The sequence below is a fragment of the Homo sapiens genome, chromosome 7, assembly GCF_000001405.40.
Source record: "Homo sapiens chromosome 7, GRCh38.p14 Primary Assembly".
Lineage (NCBI taxonomy): Eukaryota > Metazoa > Chordata > Mammalia > Primates > Hominidae > Homo > Homo sapiens.
Window position 1 is genome coordinate 149091041 of NC_000007.14, and position 10249 is coordinate 149101289.

At 49.2% G+C, this 10249-nt stretch overlaps 2 annotated features.

Annotated features, from left to right (window-relative positions):
- Window positions 40-529: a silencer, noted in NCBI's record as "silent region_18746". NCBI's record gives its function as "represses an Ori minimal core promoter by ATAC-STARR-seq in GM12878 lymphoblastoid cells {active_cell/tissue: GM12878}" and the evidence as "EXISTENCE:reporter gene assay evidence [ECO:0000049][PMID:35858748]".
- Window positions 3423-3623: a silencer, noted in NCBI's record as "peak6836 fragment used in MPRA reporter construct". NCBI's record gives its function as "represses an SCP1 promoter by STARR-seq MPRAs in K562 erythroleukemia cells {active_cell/tissue: K562}" and the evidence as "EXISTENCE:reporter gene assay evidence [ECO:0000049][PMID:32103011]".

Sequence of the window (10249 nt, forward strand, 5' to 3'; positions counted from 1 at the left end):
ATGGAGAGATCAGGGACAGGGACAGGGAGAGATCAGGGACAGGGACAGGGAGACGCGCTCCACAGAAACCCAGACTGAGAGGCAGCGAGAGGGGAACCTCCGGTGCGGTTCCTCCCAAAGCCGCCCCCGAGACAGGCTTCGTCTGTGAGGGGGTCCCGGGAATCCAGCGAGGCCGGAAAGTGGGTGGGGGGCGCGCGCTGCCCGCGGTGGCCCGGGGCATCCGTCCCGCCGGGGGCGCGGAGGCCGTGGGGGCCCCATGCTTGTCCCGCCGGGGACGCGGAGGCGGGGTCCGCCCACCAGGTCCGGTCGCCGTGGGTCTAGAGCCCTCCGGGCTCCCCGGGCGGCCACGCTCCTTCCTTAGCAGAGAACGGCCTTGGGCAGAGACCCCATGCGGAAGCCACCCCGGCCTCAGGGCCGCCTGCAGGGACTCAGGGTGGCCCAAGGCTGCGGTCGGGCACCCCGGGCCCCGGCAGGAGACAGAGACAGAGTAGGAGGAGAAGACGGAGGAGGCCATGACACAGGGCGTGAGAAACACGAGAACGCAAGAACAGGGGAGAGGTGGGGAAACCAGGAAGAGACAGAAAGGAGAGAGGGCGAGGAAGGGGGTGGCGATTGTCTCCAGAAAATCAACCTCGCATTCTGTCTTAGTCATGTCTTAGGTGTCAGGCTGAAGTAGCAAAGGAAAAGTGTGTAGTTTGGAGAGGATGTGCATAAGAAATAAAATAGTCCCTGCGTAGGCTGAGGAGCATATACGCATCTGTGTTTGCCACAGAATCGTGAAATGTACATGCACCTTACTGTTTAACGTTTTTTATTTTTACAACTGTTATACAGTACAATTTTTTTTTTTTGGAGACAAAGTCTCACTCTTGTCACCCAGGCTGGAGTGCTGTGGCGCAATCTCGGCTCACTGCAACCTCTGTCTCCTGGATTCAAGCAATTCTCCTGCCTCAGCCTCCCGAGTAGCTGGGATTACAGGCATTTGCCACCACGCCCGGCTAATTTTTGTATTTTTAGTAGAGACGAGGTTTCACCATGTTGGTCAGGCTGGCCTCAAACTCCTGACCTTGTGATCTACCTGCCTCGGCCTCCCCAAGTGTTGGGATTACAGGCGTGAGCCACCGCGCCTGGCTTTTTTTTTTTTTTTTTTTTTTTTTTTTTTGAGACAGAGTCTTGCTCTGTCGCCAGGCTGGAGTGCAGTGGTGGGATGTCGGCTCACTGCAACCTCCGCCTCCCGGGTTCAAGCTATTCTCCTGCCGCAGCCTCCCGAGTAGCTGGGACTACAGGCACGCGCCACCATGCCCGGCTAATTTTTTGTATTTTAGTAGAGACGGGGTTTCGCCATGTTGGTCAGGCTGGTCTCGAACTCCCAACCTCAGGTGATCCACCCGCCTCGGCCTCCCGAAGTGTATACAGTACAATTTTTTAATGTATACTGCTATGAACTTTTTTTTTTTTTTTTTAGACGAAGTCTTGCCCTTGTTGCCCAGGTTGGAGTGCAGTGGCACGATCTCAGCTCATTGCAGCCTCTGGGTTCAAGTGATTCTCCTGCTGGCCGGGCGCGGTGGCTCAGGCCTGTAATCCCAGCACTTTGGGAGGCCGAGGCGGGCGGATCACGAGGTCAGGAGATCGAGACCATCCTGGCTAACACGGTGAAACCCCGTCTCTACTAAAAATACAAAAAATTAGCCGGGCGAGGTGGCGGGCGCCTGTAGTTCCAGCTACTCTAGAGGCTGAGGCAGGAGAATGGTGTGAACCCGGGAGGCGGAGCTTGCAGTAAGCTGAGATCGCACCACTGCACTCCAGCCTGGGCGACAGAGCGAGACTCTGTCTCAAAAAAAAAAAACCAAAAAACAAAAAAACCTGCTTCACCCTCGCGAGTAGCTGAGATTACAGGCGCATGCCACCATGCCTGCCCCGCTAATTTTTCGTATTTTTAGTAGAGACGGGATTTCACCGTGTTAGTCAGGATGGTCTCCATCTCCTAACCTCGTGATCCGCCCACCTCGGCCTCCCAAAGTGCTGGGATTACAGGTGTGAGCCACTGCACCCTGCCATGAACTTTTAACTATTAACTTTTTTTATAACTGTAAGTTATATAGAAGTATAACTTCTATACTACTACATAGAACTCCAAATTTTAACATATGCATAAACATGTAACTGACATCATAATCAGGCTGTTGTAAAACCCCAAAATCAGGCTTGTGTACCTCATGGGCAGCTGAGGCCAAACACTGAGACACCGGTGCTTGGAGATGCAAAAAGGTTTCATTGATTTGGCCAAAGCGAGAAGGCAGCAGAGCAAATCTCTAAAATCTGTCTTAACAAAAGGAAGCAGGGAGTTTTTATGGGGCTAGAGAGTAAGGGAGGGGGAGTTTCAGGGAACCAAGGGGGAAAGTCTGTGTTTCTTCAGTCTCTGATAACACCTTGAGCAATCAGGCTTCTGGGCGTCAGGGGCTGGCCACAACGACCCTGAAGGCATTCCCCCTGCAACAATTTTTCATGACCCTGAAGTTATCTCCTTCTCCTTGACAATCAAACAGTACATCAGCAGTATGTAATTATATTGTGAGAACAAGGAATATTGGGCAAAAAGCAAGTGGTTAAAACATGCAAACAAGCAAGGGCCTGATCAGAATTTTCATTTATTCAGTCCTTAAGAACTGCAGAATGCTGAAGTCTCAAGGGGCCCGGTTACAAGGCTATTGGAAGTTTCATCACCCTCTAAAATGCCCTTAAATAGCTTTTTTGTTTTGTTTTTTAAAAAATTGTTGGTCCGGCGCGGTGGCTTACGCCTGTAATCCCAGCATTTTGGGAGGCTGAGGCAGGCGGATCACCTGAAGTCAGGAGTTCTAGACCAGCCTGGCCAACATGGTGAAACCCCGTCTCTACTAAAAATACAAAAATTAGCCGGGCGTGGTGGCACGCGCCTGTAATCCTAGCTACTCGGGAGGCTGGGGCAGAAGAATCACTTGAACCCTGGAGGTGGAGGTTGCAGTGAGCCGAGATCACGCCACTGCACTCTGGCCTGAGCAACAGAGCGAGACTCCATCTCAAAAAATAAAACAAAACTAGCCAGGCATAATGGCAGGTGCCTGTAATCCCAGCTACTGGGAAGGCTGAGGTGGGAGAATCACTTGAACCCAGGAGGCGGAGGTTGCATTGAGCCAAGATCACGCCATTGCACTCCAGCCTGGGCAACCGAGCAAGACTCTGTCTCAAAAAAAAGAAAAAAAAGTGTAGAGACAGGGTCTTGCTATGTTTCCCAGTCTGGTCTCAAAATCCTGGCCTCAAGTGATCCTCTGCCTGGGCCTCCCAAAGTGCTGGGATTATAGGTGAGAGCCACTGTGCCCAGCCATCTTGTAATGTCTTTTGATCCACCTCCCTTCCTATATCTGTAACCCCTAGCAAGGGCTGATTTATTTCTGTCCCTATAGTTTTACCTTTCAAGAATGTCATATAAACGGAATTATACAGTATGTAACCTTTTGAGACTTATAAAAGTTTACAACATACTTCAACTCACTATACCTTTGAGATTCATCCACATTGTTATCTGTATCAATGTTATTAAGGAGCACCAGCTGTAGTGGCTCTCACCTGTAGGTCCCCTCAAGGGATCCTGAGGTGGGAGGATCCCTTAAGCCCAAGAGTTCATGGCCAGCCTGGGCAATATAGCGAGACCCCTGTCTCCAAAAAGAAAAATAAATGCAGGCCAGGCACAGTGGCTCATTCCTGTAATCCCAGCACTTTGGGAGGCCGAGGTGGGCGCATCACTTGAGATCAGGAGTTTCAGACCAGCCTGGCCATCATGACAAAAACCTGTCTCTACTAAAAATACAAAAATTAGCTAGGCGTGATAACGCCTGCCCGTAGTCCCAGCTGCTTGTGAGGCTGAGGTAGGAGAATCACTTGAACCCGGGAGGCAGAGGTTGTAGTGAGTGGAGATCACACCACTGCAATCCAGCCTGGGCGACAGAGGGAGACTTTGTCTCAAAAGAAAAGAAAAAAATGCATTAGTACTATGGATGTATCACAGTTTGTATAGCCACCGTTCATCAAAGGACATTTGGATTGTTCCAAATTTTAGCAATTCTGAAGGGAGCTGCTGCAAACATTCATGTAAGTGTTTTTTTCTTTTTTTTTTGAGATGGAGTCTCGCTCTGTAGGCCAGGCTGGAGTGCAGTGGCGCGATCTTGGCTCACTGCAGGCTCTGCCTCCCAGGTCCATGCCATTCTCCTGCCTCAGCCTCCAGAGTAGCTGGGACTACAGGCGCCCGCCACCACGCCCGGCTACTTTTTTTTTTTTTTTTTTTTTTTTTTTTGTATTTTTAGTAGAGACAGGGTTTCACCATGTTAGCCAGGATGGTCTCGATCTCCTGACCTCGCGATCCGCCTGCCTCGGCCTCCCAAAGTGCTGGGATTACAGGCGTGAGTCACCACACCTGGCCATGTCATGTACATGTTTTTGTGTGAACAGAGGTTTTCATTTGTCTAGGATAAATACCCAAGAGTGGGATTGCTGGTCATTCAGTAAGTACATATTTATAAGAAACAAATCATTTTCTAGAATGGCATGATGCTGTTTTGCATTCCCATCAGCAATGTGTGAGAACTCTAGTTGCTCCATATTCTCCATAGTAGCTGGTATTGTCAGATGTTCTAAGGAGTAGAAAGCCTACAGTGGGCTGTGCCTCATGTTTCACTGGTTTAATCCCAGCACTTTAGGAGGCGAAGGCAGCAGAGGATAACTTGAGGCCAGGAGTTCAAGACTAGCCTGGGCAACATGGCAAGACCCTGTCTCTATTTAAAAAAGAAAAGAGAGGTCGGGCACAGTGGCTCACGCCTGTAATCCCAGCACTTTGGGAGGCCGAGGTGGGTGGATCACGAGATCAGGAGTTCAAGACCAGCCTGGCCAAGATGGTGAAACCCCGTCTCTACTAAAAATACAAAAAAAAATTAGCCGGGCACAGTGGCAGGCATCCGTAATCCCAGCTACTTGGGAGGCTGAGGCAGGAGAATCGCTTGAACTCGGAGGGTGGAGGTTGCAGTGAGCCGAGATCACGCCACTGCACTCCAGCCTAGGCGACAGAGTGAGACTCCATCTCAAAAAATAAAAAAAAAAATTAAAAAATAAAATAAAAGAGAAAGCCTACAGTGCAGGGCACTGACAACTGAACATGTCAAATAGAAACCTTTGAAACACCCCACCCAGCAAAAATCCTAACTATGAAATAGTCTTTAGTTTTAGGAAGAAGACATAAAATTTTAACTGCAGGCCGGGTGTGGTGGCTCATGCCTGTAATCCCAGCACTTTGGGAGGCCGAGGTGGGCAGATCACCTGAGGTCAGGAGTTCGAGACCAGCCTGGCCAACATGGTGAAACCCCGTCTCTACTAAAAATACAAAAAGTAGCCAGGCATGGTGTGCACACCTGTAGTCCCAGCTGTTCAGGAGGCTGAGGCAGGAGAATCGCTTGAACCCGGGAGGCAGAGGTTGCAATGAGCCAAGATTGCGCCACACTGCACTCCAACTTGGGTGACACAGTGACAGCTTGGGTGATGCTGCACTCCAGCTTGGGTGACAGCTGCACAAGATTGTGCCACTGCACTCCAGCTTGGGTGACAGCCATCTCGAAAAAAAAAGAAAAAAGAAAAAAAAATTTTTGAGTGGTTTTTCTCAAATTCACTGTTTGGAAAGAAAATGGGAGAGGAAGAGTAATGATACAAAATTAGCATGTCAGAATCACCTGTGACAGCTTTGAAATGTACATACATTCCTTTCCCATCTAGTGGGACTGAAAGACATGATTTCAAGAATGTTTGATTTCTCCCTCATGTGACCCAGTCACCAAACCCTGCTTAATCTTCTTTACCTTTTTTTCATATCCATCCTTTCTATCCTCAGTACCCAAAACCCAATTCATCGCTCCTTCTGACCATTCAAGAAGAATTTCTAGAATGTCTTGTTTTTCTTCCTTTTAGAAACGGGCTCTTGCTATGTCCTCCAGGCTGGCCTCAACCTCCTGAGCTCAAGCGACCCTCTCACCTCAGCCTCTCAAGTAACTGGGTGTGCCACCACGCTTAGCCCTAGAATGTCTTCTATGTCAGGTGTGTGTTAAGTGGAGAAAATGCAAAAACAAGAGCATACAGATGCCCTCCAGGGGTTCAGGCTATGAGGGGAAGCAGACAGAGTTTCAGTGGGGAGTGCTTTAGAGGAAGGAATTTAGAGGTGCTGGGAGAAGAGACAAGCATATAGCTAAAACATTCCTTTTCTCTGGACTGAATCATGGAATGTGAGGGAGGTGATGTGAGGGAGGGAAGGCATTCCAGACAGACGAGAGTCATGAGAGAATATAATGCACTTGAGAAAGATACATGCTGTGCGATGAGGCTGAGGCTCACATTGTGAAGGTCAAACTGAAGCGGCAGGTCAGGGTCAGCTCACAGGTTCTTCTAGGTCCCGCCACCTCGCCCGGCTAATTTTTTGTATTTTTAGTAGAGACGGGGTTTCACCGTGTTAGCCAGGATGGTCTCAATCTCCTGACCTCGTGATCTGCCCATCTCGGCCTCCCAGAGTGCTGGGATTACAGGCGTGAGCCACCGTGCCCGGCCTTTTCTAGGTCTTATTAAAGAATGCATTTATAATAAAATGGGAAACTTCTTCTTTTTTTTTTTGAGACAGTCTTGCTCTGTTGCCCAGGGTGGAGTGCAATGGCGTGATCTCAGCTGACTGCAACCTCCACCTCCCGGGTTGAAGCAATTCTCCCACCTCAGCCTCCCAAGTAGCTGGGACTACAGGCATGTGCCACCATGCCTGGCTAATTTTTGTATTTTTAGTAGAGACGGGGTTTCACCACGTTGGCCAGACTGCTCTTGAACTCCTGACCTCGAGTGATCCGCCCGTCTCGGCCTCCCAAAGTGCTGGGATTACAGGCATGAGCCACCGCGCCCGGCCAAAATGGGAAACTTCTAAGTATTTCTTGAAGGGACCAATGTTAGAATTGCATTTTAGAAGAACCCATCTGGCAGATGGATGATAAATGTACTGGAGGAAAAAAGCCAGAAGCAAGGAAACCTGTCAAGGAAAACACTATTAAATAAATAAATAAATAAATAAAGTGAGCTTCAAGTAGTAACAACAGAGATAGCGAGAAAGGATCTTGTTTGGGAAGAATCAGGAGCTAGATGCTAGATTGGGTGTAAGAAAACCTAGGTGCATCATCAGATTTATAACTTTGGAGATGAGGTAGATTTAGTATACAGAGGTAGGAAATACAGAACAGTCTAACAAAGAAGGGTAGAGGCCGGGCACAGTGGCTCATGCCTATAATCCCAGCACTTTGGGAGGCTGAGGCAGGCGGATCATTTGAGGTCAGGAGTTCGAGACGAGCCTGACATGGTGAAACCCTGCCTCTACTAAAAATACCAAAAAAATAAAAAATAAAAAAAAAATAAGCTGGGCGTGGTGGCGGGCGCCTGTAGTCTCAGCTACTCGGGAGACTGAGGCAGGAGAATTGCTTGAACCTGGGAGGCAGAGCTTGCAGTGAGCCGATATCGCGCCACTGCACTCCAGCCTGGGTGACAGCACGAGACTCTGTCTCAAAACAAAACAAAACAAAACAAAAAAAAAAAAACGGCCGGGCGTGGTGGCTCACGCCTGTAATCCCAGCACTTTGGGAGGCCGAGATGGGCAGATCACGAGGTCAGGAGATCGAGACCATCCTGGCTAACACGGTGAAACCCCGTCTCTACTAAAAACACAAAAAAATTAGCCAGGCGTGGTGGCGGGTGCCTGTAGTCCCAGCTACTCGGGAGGCTGAGGCAGGAGAATGGCGTGAATTCGGGAGGCAGAGCTTGCAGTGAGCCGAGATGACGCCACTGCACTCCAGCCTGGGCGACAGAGCGAGACTCCGTCTCAAACAACAATAACAACAACAACAACAACGGGGGTAGAGTGAGGGTTGATACAGGTGACAAGTCTTACTTGGGGCATTTTGTGTTTGAGATGTTCATGGCACAAGTTGAAAATATGGATTTATAGATTTGAAAGTCATTAGCACATATGTGGTAACAGAAGAGATGGCTGTACCAGATGCAGCTAGGGACAGCCAAATAGTCACGCACACAAACAGCCATAGCTTGCTGCTGGTTTTGGAGGTGGGCGCGCTTCTCCCTCATTCTTGGTGTTCCTCTCCACTGAGGGGGAGCTCCGTGAGCACAGCACTTGCAGCCTCTGCCTCCTCACCCACTTTGCTCAGGTCATGTGCACGCTGGGCTCTCCTGTGTTAGTTTTATGACTAGTAAAGGTGTCATGTTGATCTTACAGTCACACTGGGGGTTAGGGATTCAACCTGTGAATTTGGAAAGGGGAGGGGACATGATTCCGTTCATAACATGGGGTTACATCTTACTGAATGCCTACTCTTTTTTTTTTGAGACAGGATCTTGCTCTGTCACCCAGGCTAGAGTGCAGTGGCATGATCTCAGCTCACTGTGACCTCCGTCCTGGGTTCAAGTGATTCTCCCATTTTAGCATCTCGAGTAGCTGGGGCTATGGGTGCATGCAATCACGCCCGGATAATTTTTGTATTTGTAGTAGAGACAGGGTTTTCCCATGTTGGCCAGGCTGCTCTCGACCTTCTGCCCTCAAGTGAACCACCCATCTCGGCCTCCCAACGTGCTGGGATTACAGGCATGAGCCACCGTGCCGAGCCCTGAATGCCTACTCTTGACTAGACACTATGTATTTCACATTCATAATCTCATGTTCATCCTCACATTATAGTGTCCATTATTAACTTGGCCTTTATTTCCAGAATCTGAGTACTGGTCATGAAACAATTTATACTCCCTTACTTAGGTGACCAGATTTGGGGGCAAAGACAGCTTAGATAGAAACTTCTACTTGGCTCCTGATAAGCATGAGCATCTGGGAAGTTCCAGGTAATGCTTACCACAGTTCCTTTCTCCTTTCTTGTTTTTTGTTTGTTTTTCTTTGAGACGCAGTTTCGCTCTTGCTGCCCTGGCTGGAGTGCAATGGCGCGATCTCGGCTCACTGCAACCTCCGCCTCCTGGGTTCAAGCATTCTCCTGCCTCAGCCCCCCGAGTAGCTGGGATTACAGGTGCCTGCCACCACGCCCAGCTAATTTTTTGTATTTTTACTAGAGACAGGGTTTTACCATGTTGGCCAGGCTGGTCTCAAATTCCTGACCTCAGGTGATCCACCTGCCTCGACCTCCCAAAGTGCCGGGATTACAGGCGTGAGCCACCGCGCCCTGCCCTTTCTCCTTTCTTTCTTTTTTTTTTTTTTTGAGAGTCTCCCTCTGTCACCAGGCTAGAGTGCAGTGGCACGATCTCAGCTCACTGCCACCCTTGCCTCCCGAGTTCAAGCGATTCTCCTGCCTCAGCCTCCTGAGTAACTGGGACTACAGGCGCGTGCCACCAGCCCAGCAAATTTTTGTATTTTTGGTAGAGACGGGGTTTCACCATATTGGCCAGGATGGGCTCCATCTCTTGACCTCGTGATCCGCCCGCCTCAGCCTCCCAAAGTGCTGGGATTACAGGCATGAGCCATGGCGCCTAGTCTCTCCTTTCTTAAAGCTACCCCTCCTCCTTGTTCTCAGCTCCTCCCCATTCTCTACCTGCACTTGGTCACTTTCTTCTCCTAATTCCTGCCTCGGTTTGACCTCAGAAGCACTCCTTATTGCTGTTTCTGTGCCAGTCCCCCATGTGTGGACTGGGAGTGATTCTGTAGGCCACTCCATGTACTGCAATCCATCACCTAACTCATACTAGAGAATGCCTGTGTTACCAGTATAGCTGAAAAACAGCATTTATTTTTGTAGATGTGGCTGATTTTCATAAAGGTACCCTCCCCTCACCATTATATTAAATGGAGAAAGTAAAACTTACAGAGCTCTAGTGTCTTGCCCAAGGCCAGAGCGAGGGTCTGTTTTATTTTGTGGGACTTACTCTAAGCCCTGTGCTTTCTGAACTACGTCATGGAACTGCCCCTTCTCTTCTGTGTTCTACTCAGCCCCATGCTTTTGCTTCAGCCACTCAGGGTAATATCTCTCACTGACATTTATAATCCTTTAACTTCTTCTTTGACCTCTTTCTGCAGCATGTGGTACTGTGGGGTACTCATTATTATTATTATTATTTTCATTTGTTTAGAGATAGGGTCTCACTCTGTCACCCAGGCTGGAGTGCAGTGGTGCAAACATGGCTCACTGCAGCTTTAACC